General features: G+C 40.3%; 1 protein-coding gene across 11 annotated transcripts in view, besides 1 other annotated feature; it reads right to left on the bottom strand.

The window, feature by feature from the left end:
* FNDC3B (fibronectin type III domain containing 3B) overlaps positions 1-17,808 on the bottom strand; it is a 362,092-nt gene that overhangs the window by 102,382 nt on the left and 241,902 nt on the right. For all 11 annotated transcript variants that reach the window (NM_022763.4, XM_017007062.2, XM_017007064.3 and 8 more), the window contains 3 exons: positions 13,304-13,362; positions 3,774-3,925; positions 501-560 (listed from right to left, as the gene is read on the bottom strand). In NM_022763.4, coding sequence (NP_073600.3) covers positions 501-560; positions 3,774-3,925; positions 13,304-13,362 — 271 coding nt within the window. The remainder of the gene's footprint in view (positions 1-500; positions 561-3,773; positions 3,926-13,303; positions 13,363-17,808) is intronic.
* Positions 9,415-9,709: an enhancer, noted in NCBI's record as "tiled region #14584; HepG2 Activating DNase unmatched - State 17:Gen3', and K562 Activating non-DNase unmatched - State 12:CtcfO". NCBI's record gives its function as "activates a minimal TATA promoter and a strong SV40 promoter by Sharpr-MPRA in HepG2 and K562 cells {active_cell/tissue: HepG2 | K562}" and the evidence as "EXISTENCE:reporter gene assay evidence [ECO:0000049][PMID:27701403]".

Here is a 17,808-nt window from a genome sequence, read left to right as displayed (position 1 = left end):
TTTAGCCAAATTGAGTTAATTCTCATCAGAGATAATTTGATGCTTGTATTACTTGTCTTTTTCAAAATCTACCAGCTTTTAAGGTCTAACGGTGTGCTTGCAACATGGAAAGGGCTTCTTCAGTCATTTGGTCTGAATAAACAGTTTATATGATGGTCTATAAGAAACAATGATATGCCCATGGTGACAAAAGTTTCATTTGTTTTACAGAAAGAAACTGTTAAACCATAGTCCAATAGATCTTAGAAGACCATGTAAAATTACTTTTAAAATGTTTAAAATGATTTTCAGTGTTTAACACCTACTTTTCTGTTCACAGAAGCGCTTCTGTGTCTTCCCAGTTACGATGCTCTTGAGAGTCAATGAATGGCCCATAAGCCATGGTTCTACAACTTTCAGCAAGGTAAGCAACATTCACCAAAAACTTAAAAGGGAGTACATGTTTTTGCTTTAGCCACCTGGATTCTCCAATACAGTTTGGCTCTTATATCCTAACTCACCTCACATGATAATCTGTTGCTGGTCTAAGATCTTTCAGGTTACATTCTAATTCTTCTCCACTGTAAAGAAAAAGCATTCATTAGTTGCTAATTCCAGTTTCAAAAGCAAACGAGATTTGGAATTTGGGTGTCCAGTAATGTACTGACAATAATTCATGAACTATTATGTCAGATTCCACCATAAACCAGAAATAAACTTTCTTATTTGATATTATTATTTGTTTGGGACTAGAAAATCAGGTTCTTTTTAATGATGCCATCTTAGATCTCGAAAATGGCATGGTTAACTTACTAATAAAATTCTAAAAGATCTTATCACTTCTTACGAGTAAATACATATAAGTAACTAAGTAAGCAAATGAATGAATGAACAAACAAATGAATAAAAATGATCATACCAGCTGTTAACAGAAGGCACTTTCCACACTTACCTTGGCAGGAACCTCAATTATCTCAACTCTGGACTGTCTTAAGAAAAATCACAATCTCACTTCCTCACTTACCAATGCACCGAACAAATAGCTCTCTTCAATAAAATAAAACCATTTATGTCCTCAAAAGTTGCAACTGAACCTCACCTTAAATCATGAGGAAGTAACCAACCAAAATAAGGAATGTTCTATTGAAAATTTTTAAAAAGGTTAAAGGTGTGTGTGCATGTGACTTACTTTGTGTTCTTCAAAAATATCAGTGTCATAAAAGTATAAGAAATATTGTGGAATTGTTCCAAATTAAAGAAGGCTAAAGAGACATGACAACTAAAGGTACTGTATGACCCTAGACTAGCTCCTGCGCGGGAAGGGGTGAAAACTGCCCAATTTTTCAAAATATAACAGGCATTATTTATAGACCAAGCGACAAAAGCTGGAATATAGACAACAGATAAAAGTATCATATCAATGTAAGTTTATGAAGTTATAATTACACTGTGGTTCTTTAAAAAAATTCTTATAGGAAATATCCTGAAGTATTTTGTAGTAAGGGACCATTACATATAAAACTTATGAAAAAAAAGGCCGGGCGCGGTGGCTCACGCCTGTTATCCGAGCACTTTGGGAGGCCAAGGAGGGCGGATCACGAGGTCAGGAGATCGAGACCATCCTGGCTAACACGGTGAAACCCCGTCTCTACTAAAAATACAAAAAATTAGCCGGGCGTGGTGGCGGGCACCTGTAATCCTACCTACTCAGGAGGCTGAGGCAGGAGAATGGCGTGAACCCAGGAGGCGGAGCTTGCAGTGAGCCAAGATAGTGCCACTGCACTCCAGCCTGGGCGACAGAGCAAGACTCTGTCTCAAAAAAAAAACACTTATGGAAAAAAATGTGGATTGAGGACAGAAAGAGGAAAAGAGGAAGGAGTTCAAATGATAAAGCAGAGTATAAAGTTAATAACAAGTGAATCTGGATATGGAGTATATAGGTATTCCTTGATTTCTCTATTTTGGGGACATCTTATAAGTTTGAAACTATTCCAAATAAAAGGCTGGGTTTTAAGTTGAAAACTGGAAGCTGTGTCCAGACCTTGCCTGAAGCTCTGTTGTCTGGCCTACATTGTATCTTTAAAATATCTTGCATTTGTTCCATTAATTTAATAACAGGGAAGTTTGTATAATAATTCAGATTTTCAGCATCTTTTGAAAAAAAATTCAAAGAATCAGCAAATTTTAGCAACAATCAACTTAGGCTGAGTGGTGACTGCTTCCTTTCGATGGCAACAGGAGCTCTCCTGTTCACCTCATTTTCAGCCTTTCCACTTTGCTCATGTATGTTACCTGCTGAGCCTCTCTGGGCACGTGAGCCTCTAGCTCCTGCCACCAATGTTCATCTTGCATGAAAAGACTCTATCCACAGTTGTCCCGCAGTATACACAAGGAATCAGTACCAGGACCCCACCCCCACAGAGCGTATACACATACTCAAGTCCCCAGTTGGCCCTGCATATCCACAGGTCTCATATCCCGTGAATATTGTTCTGGTCTGCATGTGGCTGACAAGGAATCCGTGCATAAGTGGGTCCGTGCAGTTCAGACCTGTGTTGTTCAAGGGTCAATTGCATCTGTTCCTTGCCAGGCATGGGGGACATGGCACTCTGTATTTCTTTAAAGTTGCTACTAATTCTGATTTTTCAGACTAGAATAAAACGGTGATGAGCCAGAGTTAGGAATATCCTAAATACAGTGGGGAATCCCTGGAGTGTTATCAGAAGGGCAGTGATCTGGCCTGAGTTTGTTTCTGCAGTGAGTAGGCAAGCTTGTAGAAGAGCAAGAGTCGGGGGTGGAAGACCTGCAGGAGACTCCTGAGGGCGTCCAGGGAAGAGACAGTGGAGGTAGCCTGGGTAGCAAGAGGAGGACACAGCAGCCACAGGGCTTGAGTCCTTAACCTCTGTCCCTCTTTCCTTGTCAGGAAGACTGTCTGTGGAGCAAGAATTAGGAACAGGAAAGGGGAGATACGCATCTGTGGCACTGATGCAGCAGGAAAATAGGGGAGAAAAGAAACATCTCTGGCAGAAAAAGTGAGGATTGTGTGACCACATTATTACCCTGGGCACGGGCAGTCACTGGAGGGTCCACTCACAGGGAGGCCAAACAAGCAGTTAAAACAAAACTAACTTTCTGATTTCCTGCTCTGCAAATCTGAGCAGTACCCAGTAATTACAAAGAAGAAAGACGTGGCCCTAAAATTTTTCTCACATTTAGAACACAGTTATAAATCTTTTGAATGGTCAATACCTGGGAGTCCACAGAGCAGAAGGGGCTAATCCCTTCCCTGTGAGCCAAACTTTTGACCACTTAAGGCCTCCAAATGAAATGTTTTAAAGTATCTTTATTACAGGCTGGAAACTATTGTGCAAGGTAAGAAATAGGGTAAAACAGAAGGAAACATATTGTAGAACTTTAAAAAACAGGGCTACAAAAAGGTCTGGATCTAAAACATAAGCGGTCACCTTATAATCGCCCAATGTATGCAAAAACTAAAAGTCATAATCGCCTTTTGCCGACAGACATTAACAGAAAGTTTTCATTAATACTCTACTGACAGCAAATATAACCAAGTGATGTATTACACCCATACCAAATAGCTCTATGCTACTCATTTCCAAATAAGAATTACTCTGGACACAATGAATTCTTAGCATTATAATTATTACTAAATCTTAAAATAAACTAAAGGAAAATTTGCCAAGCCTATAAGGTTTTCCTTTGTTTTCCATTTTCCTTCACAACTCCAATTTTACAGTTTAGCAGCAAAGAAAAACAATAGAAACATACACAACCTGTAAATTATCTTGTATTTTCCATCTCGTCCTTTGTCTGATAAGGCCACCTCGTAACTGTAGGGGAAGGAAAGACCACTGTGGGGTCCACAGGAAAGTCCAACAGGGGGAGCCCAGGACAACACAACTGCTCTTGCCTGAATATTAGAAACCTGAGGAAGAAAAACATGGGACAAAAGTATTCAAATCCATTTTACATTTTCAGAATTATTAGTAGTGGCATAAAACTGGCTCACAGTTAATCCAAGGTAAACTAGTTTAATTACAATGAAAGACATCTTATATGGTGCTCTCTTTCAAAGTCCTGGTATCCAAAATATGGTTCTTGCAACATCTGTCCTTATAATGCCAACTTTCATCCAAATCCAGTGCAATTTGCATTCTGTCCTCCATAAAGTAAAATAATGTCATGCGAGGGAATTTTTTTTTAACGTAAGTAAAAAGCTGAATGTATGATTTCTACATTATGTGGAAGAAGCCATACCCACAGGTACTTTGATCTGGTTTCAAGCCTTGCATGGTGTCAAATCATTCTTCAAAGCTAATACCTTTCCAACAATACCCGCTGAAGTCCTGCAGATTCCCAGGAGAACCCAATGGGTGGAAAACTGGAACCAAGGACCAGGCTGATATGGGATTAATATCATTATAGATGTGGAGATGTTTCACCTCTCTAAGCTCTGCTTTCATACTTTTGGTTTAGCCTCTGCTTCAGATTTCATTTGAACCGAAGACTCTGGGACTTAAAATACCCAGAACCTTCTTAAAATACTACTCTGAGGCATGTTTTACAAAATCTACTCCATCTTCCAGAGGTGTTTATAAGGACTAAGCTCTGACTGGCCACAGCTGTAACCTGTTTATTGATAGACCCCCGCATGGGCTTCCTTCCTGATACGGTTTGGATTTGTGTCCCCACCCAAATCTCATGTCAGATTGCAATCCCCAATCTTGGAGGAGGGCCTGGTGGGAGGTGACTGGATCATTGTGGTGGACTTCCCCCTTGCTGTTCTCCTGATGTGAGTTCTCACAAGATCTGGTTGTTTAAAAGTGTGTGGCACTTCCCCCTTCTCTCTATCTTCCTCCTTCTCGGGCAACGTAAGACATGTCTGCTTCCCCTTTTCTTCCACCATGATTGTAAGTCTCCTGAGGCCTTCCCAGCCATGCTTGTACAGCCTGCAGAAGCATGAGTCAATTAAACCTCTTTTCTTCATAAATTACCCAATCTCAGGTAGCTCTTCATAGCAATGCGAGAACAGACTAATACACTTCCCTTCTCTGTCTCAGTTCCCTTGTCTCTAACCAGGGCTTCCTGGATCACATCCCCACATAAACTATTTGCACTCAATACTTGGTTTTAGAGACCATTTCTGGAGAAACCCAACCTAAAATATGATCTAATTATTTAAAATAAATCTAAGGACAAAACTTTAACGCTGTAACTGTCTAAAGGCTATTCTATTGCTATCTGGATATTGGTCTGGATAGCATATTAAAAACAAAAAAGACAATACAGACGCTAAAGCTTAATGTTCACAAAGACTTTATAGCTGTAGATTATTAGGCTGTAGATGGAGACAGGTAAACTGTTCAGTCCCTTTTTTTCCTTCTTCCATTTTTGTCACTATAGGATCTACATAAAGATTATTGGAATTATTAAATACTTGAAATACAAATAATAAATATGGAAAATGAATGCAGAGTCTCTCTTCAGTCTGTCCTTCACTACATTTTTAGTGGAGATCACTTCGTACTATTTATTCCATATAAATAGAATATCATGATATATTTAGCCAATTATTTAGTCAAACTCCTGCTCATCCTTAAAGACCGCAGCCCGGCCTCACTACCTCCCAGTAGCCTTCTCTAAATTATCTCATGCATTGTCACTCCTCCATGTTCTACAGAACCTTGTGGATACTGCTATAATTGCTAATCACATTATGGCCTTTGTCTACCTCCCTTGGGCTTTGAGACTCCCTAAGGACAGAATCCAAGTCATAGTCAACTGTGATCAGTGGTTGCTTAGTAAATGTTTGTTGAATAAAAAATCTAGGGAAATAAGATAGTCTGAGTTTCTGACACAGACTATCAGAAGATGGTAGGCTTGCATTACACATCTCTTTAAAACATCTGAGGAAGACTGCTATAGCTCCAGACTAGCAGCTCCTCTTCCCCACCCCTCCAACCCATCTGCACCACGATGCTGTGACCAAACCTCCAGGATGCTGGCCTCTCTTATGCCCTCTCTCACACCCCTGGGACTTAGCTTTTAACTCTCCTACTTCCTTGGTTTTAACCAACTTCTCTTGGACCCACTTCAAATGCTGCCTTTGTTTACTCATTTAATGGTCATACCTCACCCTGTGAGGGGCTGTGGATACAAAGATGATTAAGGTATGATCTTTGGCCTCGAGGAGCCCCAACCTGTTGAAGAGAGACAGGCACATGAGGGGCCTCATGGCAGATATACTGAACACAGAGGGACTCTTAAGTGTTCTGAGACTGATTCTGGACAGGTTCCTGTACCGTCTGCACTGTCAGATTCAACCACTCTTCTTTGTACTCTTGCCTATTTTCCATCCCTGCATTTGGTGCATATTCCATTACACAGAGCATTACTTGGTTATTTGTGTGTTGTTTCTCTACCTAGATTTTAAGACAGCATTTCCAACATACAACAGTATATCTGCTCAATTCCTTCACATACCATTAATGAGTAATCCTGAGGTATTGGGTATCATATTTTATTTTTAACGTGGGAGATAATTTGTTACAAAGAGTTTGGTTTCTTGGAAAAAAAGGAGGCTCATTAGGTACTGGAAAACACTCAGCCAAGGTGATAAGTGGCTGCTTTGCACCCAAGAACACAGAAGACAGTAACACTGATTCCATGAATGGTGGTGTGAAATAACCATGTCTCAAAATAGCTCAGTCAAATGCCAACGTTCTAGATACCAAACAAATATCCATGAAGTCACATCCCTTTAAACTCTACCTTTTATGTCAGCTATGACAACTTTACTTTTTTCCCTTAGGACTTGGTTAAATTATTATTTACCTGAACAGAGAAATACAACACTTGAAGCATCAACTAAAATAACATTCACTTTTTCCCTAGAGTCCCTAAGCAAGCCTTCAGGATGTACACTGTCATCAGCATGCAATGCAGGTGTTTGTGGAAATACATTCTTCCAATGTGCCAGCCTATCAGAAATGCAGTTTGAGAACTCAGCATCATTCTCAAAGGAAAGCGGTTTCTGTGAATTCTTTCCTTGAGCTAAGCAGCCTGACACCCAGATCATGATGATGTTCTGGGGCCAAATCCTTCTTGTCCTCCTGCTCTCTCCCTTTCACTGACTCTTGGCCCGAGGTTTCCCTTGTTTAGGCAATGGAATGAGGAGAAAAAGATCACTTAGTCTCCATTAGGACTTGGAACTTGTTTCCACTTAAGGCTGATTCCAGAAACTGACATGCTGTCTTTCAAGAGAATGTCACTTGAAGGTGAATTCTCAGCACTAGACATATTTACTCCAAGTGTCCTGGGAGGTAATGCCTTAATGAGAGATTTGGAACTCTAGGAACTCTATCTAGGTTCATGCCGATTTCAGAGCAACAACACTCATATATGACCTTCACATTGCAAGTCTGCCTGTGCTGAAACTTTCTTGCCAGCAGTGACCAACAAGCTTAACTAGGGCACGGCTAATCTGATCATCACAGTGATCACCATGGCTGTTTGTTCCCCTCACCCCTCAAAAAAGTTTAGAAGCCATAAAACTGACTTCCTGATATTTAATTAACCTACCGTAACTAGAAAGTCAATCTCCTTTGTAATGGTGATAAAAGGGGTAATTTGTAGTTATAAAATTATTGGACGAGGTGCAATCTGACATTTGTTTCTGCAATAGTAATATAAAGGGGTCTGTTGTATAGGTTACTAGTATACATTTGCATATGAATTATTTAAACTAAACTGCTTTTGAGCACCTTGAAGGACTCACAAAATTACTTCCTACTACTAAGTGGTCACATACTAATTATAAATCATTCCTGTCTATTTATTAAATGTAGATTCCAATTCAAAAGCAGTTCAATAACTGCTATAAAAGGGTCTGTTGTACAGGTTACTAGTGTAAGTCTGCATATGAATTATTTAAACTAAACTGCTTTTGAGCACCTTGAAGGACTCATAAAATTACTTCCTACTTGTAAATGGTCACATACTGATTAGAAATCACTCGTCTATTTATTAAATGTAGATTCCAACTTGAAAGCAGTTGTTCTATATGTGTGTGTATAAGGAAATTATAAAACCGCATTGTCCTGTAGCTATTTGATACGTAATCCATAGCTTGCTTTCTCCTTGCACCTTCTCTCCTGTTCATCCCAATATTTTAATACTGTTCTGTAAAATTTTCCATTTTTTTCTGATATTTTATTATTATGCAAATGATAGTACTTGGATCAGAAACACCATTTATTCTCATAGTTACTAAATTGTTTCTTTCATGTTCAAAAATATTTCCTTGTACATTGGTAGCTTCTAAATTTGCTCTGGCCTTTGGATTGAACTATGTGGGAGGCCTACTGATCTAATTAAAGAGTACACTAAGGAAATATTACCACACAAATACTGGCTTCACTTCTAAAGGATCATCATGAGAAACACCACCACAAAGGAAAATAAATGAAAAAGGAAAAGGTTAAAGAAAAAGGATACTGAAATCTAAGAATTTCACAGTCATCTGTTTTTATGATTCCTGAAGTGCTAAGAGCCGCCTATCTGCTCCCAGATGCACTACTGTTTATCTTTCAAGGGATTGCTTCTTACAGGGGAAGTGTTCCTCGCAGGTCAGTTTACTCGCTTCTGGAACCGACAAATCAATTGTTCCAACAAGCTAAACATTCGCGGATGGAAACAATGCAGAACCACAATTCCAGGTTACATTATTTATATCCTGAAAATAAACAGCCCACCAGTCTATGGGAGACTACATCTAGCACCACCACCAGAGAAGGTCAGACCACATTAGGCTCGAGATGGCTGGCTAATTCCTAAGCCACTCAGAATAATATCAGGCTTATTGCTCTGTCATGGTGGAGGCTATACCAGTGAAGTCCCCATAGCACCTAACTGTTCCAGTCCCAAGATAAATACCTAGTATACTTGTATACCATTTTAATAAAATTTAAATGAAACTAAGTATTTGGACCTTTGCAGTAGCTGGGTCTCTGAAGAGTAAAAGACTTGCTCAATTCAGGGTGCCCAAAGTCCTAGAAAGATGACTGGAATCCACAAGTTCTGCACCTAAATAAAATCATCTGCAAAACCTCAAAGCAAAATATATGCCTTTTATTTAGAGGTGCTACCAGTTGTGGCTGAAAGGAACACAAAATTAAATAATCCTTTTTACAACTGTGCTCCCAACTTTGCATGGCTCTGCTTCTTTCCCTGTCAGATGGCCTGATACCTCTTCCTTCCCATGTAAGAGCACAGAAGTTTCACTTTTGCTTAGTGATACGCTACAAACTATAAATACTGCATTCCAAGTATATAATTTACTTCTCATATAGTCCCAGGTAGTATTTCTTATCCTACCTTTCAAAGATGAGGAAACTGAGGCACAAAGAAATGATGTAACTTACCCAAGGTCACAAAGACAGGTAACAGCCAATGCAAGTCCCAACCCAGAGTGCCAGATTGCAAAGCACAGGCCTTCCCTCTAGTGGCTGCTGCCTTACACGCTGGCGGAGGCACATCCTGAGGCTGGTCAGACTTCCGGCGTTTGTGCCCCCGGCCAGAACCCAGCTACAGCCACACAGTTATTCAGCAAAGATCTATTAAGGGGTCACTATGTCCCAAGGACAGTGCTAGGTATTAGGAGCGAAAAGTTAAATAACACACAATCACAAACAAGAACTTCAGAGAGAAAAGTGGTACGAAGAGGAAAGACAGAAACTGCATAAACAACTAATTGGGCTGGAAAGAAACAGTGGACTGTCTCAGGCAATAACATTTATGAGGATCAGAAGGGGAGTGTGGTAGGTCCCCAAAGAGGTCCACATCCTAGTCCTTGGAACCTATGAATACCTTATATGGCAAAAGGGACTTTGAAGGTGTGACCAAGTTAAGGCTCTCGTGAAGGGGAGACTTAACCTGGATTATCTGGCTGGGCCCAGTAAAATCACGGGGGTCCTTATAAGTGAAAGAGGGAGGCAGGACAGTGAGAGACAGGCATGTGAGAATGGAAGCAGAAGCTGGGGGAATATGGCTGCTGACTTTGCAGACAAAGCCAAGGGATGCAGGCTGCCTTTAGAAACTGGAAAAGGCAAGAAAACAGATTTTGTCCCAAAGCCTCTAGAAAGAAATATAGCCCTGCCAACACCTTGATTACAGCCTAGCCAGAGACATTTTGGACTTTCTGGCCTCTAGACCTTTATGACAATAAATTTGTACTGTTTTACGCCATTCAATTTGTGGTAAATCATTACAGCAGCAATAGGAAACATATAGGTGGAGAGAAAGAGAAGTTGTTTTAGTCATGTGCAAAAGCAGGAGGCACGAACAAGCATGGCACTCTTCATACAAACTCCCCTTGTCTGATATGCCTTCAGCCCAGGCAACCTGGATACACTTACACTGCCATCCAGAGAACCAGACATGCAGGGTGGTTAGCACCAACCACCACCCACATGTTGGCAAAGCAACTGTGTCCAGAGACGCCCACTTCCTATCAGGTGATTTTCATCAAACTGCTTAAAAGGTAGGGTGTAGTATTTTGGCAAGTTCAAGCCTCACTGTTAAAAAGGGCATGAGATATAAATGCGGATCTACAGATCTTTCATGACTCTGGAGTGTGTAACTACTTGAGGCTTTGTTTCTACTCACCTCCAGAAAGTTTCTCAACGTGCCTTTTCCAAACCTAGAAAGATAATGTGCTGCTTATGCTACAGAATTAACAACTCCAGCTTTATAGGACTAAGGAAACTCTTCAGCTATACTGACTACGTCTGTGCCCATCTAAGCCACGCTGATATGGAAATGTTATCTTTTGACTGAATTTCTCATTCAAAGTCCACTTCAAAGGTTTGGAGGAGGGTAATGAGACAGGATAGAGTCCAGTTAAGCTGGCTGGCCCTGCAGACAGGCTGTTACCTTGTGGCATTTACCTGAGTGAATTCGCCAGGTCCAGGCCCCTGCCCAGTGACTCAGACAATCTAGCCGGTATTCCAGAGTCAGACTTGAATGTCAAACTATAAGACTTATGGAATCAGATATATACAATCAGACTGCCAGTTAATTGATTCATAATGAGAAACAGAAGTATCTGGTAGATTAGATAGCACTGTCAACCTGCCTCACATACTTTCTCTCTGTTGGCAACAAGGAAGTCAAATTCTCAAAAGGCTACTAAGTGAGCACCAAATGAAAACAAGGGGAGTTATCTACATGATTCAGGGGCCTAAAGGCACTAGGCTCTGAGAAGCCAATTCTCTGCGATGGGTACAGAACGGCCTGGCCAGACTGTCATGGATAGAGCTAACATCTGTGTGCTTCTGTAGCCAAGCAATGCTTGTTTCCAAATGATACAGGCAAAAGTTCTCAGATGACGCTCTTACCCTATTATATTTTACAACACAGCTACTTACAAAAAGCCTATTACCCTGCCCTAAAACCTCAAAAGATTAAATGCCTAAGAAATACTGCATCAAGAAAAAGGACCAATGAATCTAAATATGGCTTTTGTCTTGCTAGAGCCATCTCACCCACAAGAAACAGAGATTCTGTCACTTCTTCAGCAGAGCAGTGACTAGGAATATCTGAGGAACAGCACTGTGTGCATAAACATGATTAAGAAGCGACTATGGAGTTCTGAAACTACATTTGGGGCCATGAGTGAACCCGCTGCTCTGCCCTCTCTCTCTGACTCCTCTGTTTTCCTTACAGATTTTTCTTCTTTCTACTATGCTACAAACATAAGCTTTTTCCATAATTCTGCCCTCACACCTTTTCTGATCTCTCCCTTATACTGCACCCCCGTCTGCAAAGCTATCATCCAATCCTACAACATGAAGTATCATTGCTATGCATGTGATCTCCCTGTCTTGTATCTTGTTCCTCCTCGCTCCTCAGCATCGGCCTACCAGACATTTGCGACCGCCCGCTGTATCTATCTTTCCAGAGTCCCTGACAGTGAAACAAACTCAGCATGTCCAAGAATGGCACTGAAGATACAAAAAGGACAAAGCTGTGAACCTGTCCTAGAGAAACCACAGACCGGGAAAGACACAGAAACAAGTAGATGCAGTACAATATATTAAATACAGTAGCAGAAGTCCATGAAGGGCACAGCAAAGCTGGGGGTAGAGCCTCCCACTTGATGGGCATGGACAGCAATCAGGAAGGCATCTTAGAGGAAGCAATTCCTGAGAGGAGGCATCCAAACCCGAAAGCCCAGTTATCCTTGACATTTGATATCTATTCTAACAGGTTATAGTGCCGTATTCTATCTCTGGAATGGCTCTTGTATCTGTCCCCTGCTGCCTGCCACACAGATGTCACCACCCTAATTTTGACTCCCATAGCCTTTCACCAGGACTACAGTAGCAGATTCTAACACTGCTCTTCCCTGCATCTATCTTCTTCTCACTCCAACTCATCCACCAACTGTTTGATCATTCTGAAAATGCAGCCCTGATTACATAACTTCTTTGCTCAAAAACCCCCAGTGGCAGCCTGCTCCTCACCAGAGTAAGTACAGACTCCCTGCACCCCTCCCAACGGCAACACCCCACTCCTCTACAAGTGCCTTATTATGCCTGTCCTTCAACACACCTCAAGCTTTTAGGTTGTCAAATTCAACTATGTACCCTGAGGCATGTTTGGACTCTTCTGTTAAAAAGCCTCAGTATTTGAAACACATGCAGAATCAAGGTTTTCCAATTCAGCTAGAAAATACTCCAAAGAACTCTGGCTCTCTAATCTCAGATGAAAGGCTGAATCAACATTCTGAGTTTTTCACTTGAATTTCAAAGCACCTGGCAAAATCAAAACCTCACCACTTCGACCATTTTTTTGTCTTGCCATTGCACCCAATGTTCTGGACTTATTTTTCACAGCTAATATTTAAATATCTTTTTGAAGTTTACTTGGAAAAATACTTGGGATTACTGAGGTTTTCAAAAATTATTACTACATTTATATGGTTAAAAAAAAACTACCAAAAGAAAACTGTAGACTGAAAAAAGAGAGAGAAAAAAAAGAATCTTTGGAAAGAATATCTAATTGCATTCAGAATACCTAAATAAAGAAGACATTTCAGTAGATTACGACTACACACAGAAGGCTACTGTTCTATGTCTCATGGTCCATTAATAACTGAACCGAACACTATTTCATAGTTGATGAGTAATCTGCAAAGGGAAAGAGCCCTTTTCCTTACCTACTGTGTGGTGGAAAAAAAAAAAAAGCACATTTGAAATACTTTAAAAAGTGTCATTTATGCTGAGAAATCCAGAAGACATACCTGTGGTTTCTCTATTCCCGAAAGAATGTCTTGCACCCTCTTTACTTCCAACTCATATTCTGCATTGCGAAAAAGAAAAAAGGAAAAACAATACCATTAGAAGGCAGTAAGGTTGTCAAGTTCCTTCCCCAAGGCCTTTTAACTGGAGTTATCATTAAATCAGTTGCCTGTTATCATGAATTTTTGATATTACAAATGTTACCAGGAAAATCAGGAATGAAGGTGTCATTGGGGAATGGAGTTTCACTATGGTTCACTGACTTGTCACTGTATAGTTTTAAGTGTTCGCGATGTTAAGGAGATTAACACGGGGTTCCATTTAACATTTAATAATTTAACAGGCAACAGAGAATAAAGGGTCCTAAGAAGGGCAAGTGGAGGGACCAATGTACCTGGAAACTGAGAGTAATAAGATGTGGTTGAAGAGACAATGGTTATTCCATTCAGGGCTGTGAGCTCAAATCTTTGAGCTGTATTTTTACTTGTTTATTTACTTGTTTTTACTTGTTTACTTAAGTTCACATGTTTACGTTCGACGGGCAGCCACTGGGGTGTCTAAGAAAAGGGACAGATATGATCTTCTTTTGAGCTTGAAAAGATGTGTTTGTCTTCTGTGTGAACAACGGATATATGGAAGGTAAGCAAGGGAACAGAAAGACCAGTCAGTGGATTGCTGCAGTGGCCCAGGCAAAGGAAAGGCTAGAGCTGGCCTGGGCTAGAGCTGAGAGTAGAGACAGTGAGACAGGACTAGTTGAGGAGGTGTGGGTCCTGAAGGACTGGATGTGATGGGTAAGGGTGAGGAAACGTGACACACCAAGGCTAATTCCTAGTTTTCGGCTTGCTCAACTGGATGGATGACGGTGCCTTTTAATAACACGAGGGAAATGGGCATGTTTTGGGGGTGGGGCAATAATTAGGTTTTAGAAATGAAAGAATAGTGCTTGGAGAAGAGAGTACGAGGGGGGAAGGATGTGTACAAAAAAAGATAAGTGATAGAACTTAAGAATCTGCAACTTGTTAGAGGATCTTCTTGATTTTCACAGTGGGCTTGATGGAATCTAATTTTGAGTTTAGAGTAGACTCCATTTAACCTAGTTTATGAGCTAAACGCTAGCGAGATATGATCACTAAGACATATGTCCCTGCCCCCAAGATATTTCAAGTCTAGTGGAGGGAGGTGGGAAGAATGAAACCAAATAGGCAATTACAGTGCCTTGTGATGGGTGCTGTAGTAAAGGTAACCCAAAAGAGGGCATTCGAGATAGTCTTCCAGGAACCAGCATTTAGCTGAGCTCTGTGTATAATAAGCAGGCACTTGGAGGGGAAGGGGGATGTGGACCTAAGGAGTGAGAGATGGGTTAATACGCCCAGCTCTGCACAGACCTGTTTGTCCTTACTGTTCAGGTTTAATCTTAAATTCATCTTTTCAAAAAATCCCACCTTAACTGCTACACCTGACACCAGCCTCATTTCTGTCACTCTTACATGCTATTTCCTTATCAATTATCAAAATCTGAAAAGAACTATCTTTCTTATTTGTTCCCTTGCTTACTTCTGGTCTTTCTTACTAACAAACATAAGATTGAGGAAGACAGAGACACCACAGGGTCCGGAGTAGGCAAATTTTTTCCTAAAGAATCAAATAAATATTTTAAACTTTGTGAGCCACACATAGGTCTCTTGCATATTTTGCTTTTTGTTTGTTTTCATAACGCATTAAAACTTTAACAACCTCTTAGTTTGTGGGCCATACAAAAGCAGGCTACAGGGAGGCTATATAGTTCAATGACCCCTGCCCTAGGACAAAATCACCATTTACCCGCAGCACCCAGCACAGGCCCTACATGTGCAAAGCTCAACAGACGCTTCTTGACTAAATAAATGAACAAAGTCTATATTAAAAATAACAAAAACTTGTAGTTGGCACCACTCCAAACTTTAAAAGGACTTGTTCCTTATTTTTTTTCCTGTTGCGTTCTGTTTAGTAGGACGTGCTACCTTTAGTCTGGTGAGAAATACAAATGGGCTGGTGGTAATATCATGGTTTTGAAAACTGTAGCCTTTTAAAAGAAAACCCACATTCAAAAGACCCAATGTCACAAGCTCATTTATAACTATGTATTCATGTTAAGGTATAAACTGTATCCATAAATCAAAAGTTGACATACCCTCACATTTTCTGGAAGCCCCTGCTAAGTAAACTGTAAATATTATATAATCTCAAGAGATAACTGCCGGTTAGAAAAAAATCAAAACAAAACATAAGCATAGTCACAATAAATGAACTGGTTCAGTTGTTAAAGACAAAATGTTCTCAATTTCTGGTTATTGTAGAATTTGAAGGACCCTATGGTTTCAAACACTCACATAGTTATGTTCAAACAACCAGCTGAAGGAGGTAACTGTTTCCTCTTGCTATGAAGAAGGCATTTAGATTATCTTAGAAAGGCAACAAGTCAGACCCTATCCTTGGAGTAATAAAAGTTTAGAACAGGGATGATCACCTACTCAACACACAAGGAAGGGAAGAATTAAAGGGATCTGCAAATAAAACATCCTCAGGACTATGCACTAGAAATACACTATAAAAGAACAGAGTTAAAACAGGATGCTTTGTCCCACAAAAACTGGAACGCCCCCTCCCACCTTGCTTTCAAATACACATGACAGAAGAAATGGTTATGCTTTTAACAGAAAAAAAGAAAAAATAGAGAAAGAGGCTAGATTAAAAGGAATAATAATAAAAAAATCTGTCCAAAGTCAAAAAAAATGAGTTTCAGGTAAAAGCCAGAAATACAAGGGAAAGGTCCTCCTGAGATAAAAACAACTTCCAAAGAGAGGTCAGGACTTGCCTTCTCTGTTTGCCTTTGATTACAATCACGAAAACTGACATTTCCTGAGCACCTACATACGTGCTCATCTATGCATCATCACCTTGCTAATTTTTACAATATCCCCTGCATGATGGACATTCTCTGCTCCATTTCACAGTGGTGGATAGGAACTTATGCTTACTTAGCTCATCATGGTTCTCACCTCCGGTGCTGGGCACACCACCCATAGGTGTCTTTGTTGACTGAGGAAGGAATATAAGGAACAAATGAGGAAACTGAGGCTCAGAGAGTAGATGTGATTTCTCCAGGGCCACAAGTCTAATACATGGTCCCAAAGCAAGTATAACCTTTGACTGTATCATGAAGAGTTAATAGAGATCTAGGGATCCTGAGGGAGAGGACACTGAGAAAGAAAACATGGGGTTGATACTGGTGGGGTGTTGGCCTTGAGGTGGATGGGAGAAAGAGAAGGCAGCAGAGGAGATCTGCTCAGTCCTATGGGAAGGTTTATGTTGGTTTTCTTATTTGCTTTTAACTTAGAAAAGGTTGTCAAATGAATAGAGCAAAGGCCACCTATCTGCTGGGAATGTATATGAAGAAAGGAAGAATTTAAAAAGTGGGCCTTGAATGGGGCCAAATAAACAAAGGATTCTGAGAAGATCAAAAATAAAAATGGCAGGGCATGGGGAGGGAAGGCAGTGACAAAGCAATCACTGCCCTATCGTGTCTGGTCACTAGCCCCTCATGTTAGGAGAAACGTGGTACCAAGGCCAGATGGAATTCTGTCTTCTTTCAAGCTTCTAATTGTAAATATGGGAAAAAAGAGAGAAAAATGCACTTATATTACATTTATTTAATGTAATGCTTTTCCATTCGTGCTGCCACAGACTAAGAAGGAAAAGGTAAATAAAACCCAGGGACACAATTTGCACCAAACAAGAGTAAAAATAAAATTTGTTTTAAAGTGACAGTTACTTCCCACATAAACGATCAACTCTTGTACGAAAGCTAACAGTCTAGTATGAAAATGTCAAAATTCACATCTCTACGACCTAAATAAGCGAGTTAACTAAGCCCTTGGCCTATCTCACCCTAAGCATGATCTAAGCGTGCCTCGAAGTACACTGAATGACCACTCTTTCCATAAAACAGTTTCAGAGCCCAGCTGTACAAAGAGTGTATGTCAGAGTTTGGATGAAGCTATTGTTTGGTGGCATGTTTTCTTTTTTTTTGTTTTTTTTCTCCTGTCTCTCTCATGCACACACCTCCCATATTGTGAAGGAAAGAAGAATAACTGATCCCCTCACAAAAATAAGCAAACAAAACAAAAAAATTCTGCTGATTTGCCTTTAGGGTAGCTTCTTTTATTCAAGCTGAAAACTCTGTCTGGTTTTTGTTTCTTCCCCTCTTAAGAACTTGGTACTTGGTGTGAGCCAACTAAACAAGAGATTGCCCCAGAAGTGCACAAATGCAAGGTTCTGGTGCAAGGTCAGAGGACAAGTTTCTTATTCTTCATTCTCAGGGGCTATTTTCCACCTTCTGGTGTGCAGTAAATAAATTAGACAAAATCATGTAAGCAAACCCTATATTTCCTATTCCTTACACTGAAGCAGCCACAACGTAAGTAAACAGATCGAAACCATTTTCCACCTGATTCCACCTTGCTGGTGA

The sequence above is a fragment of the Homo sapiens genome, chromosome 3, assembly GCF_000001405.40.
Source record: "Homo sapiens chromosome 3, GRCh38.p14 Primary Assembly".
NCBI classification, from domain to species: Eukaryota; Metazoa; Chordata; class Mammalia; order Primates; family Hominidae; genus Homo; species Homo sapiens.
This window is presented reverse-complemented; position numbering and strand designations above follow the sequence as displayed.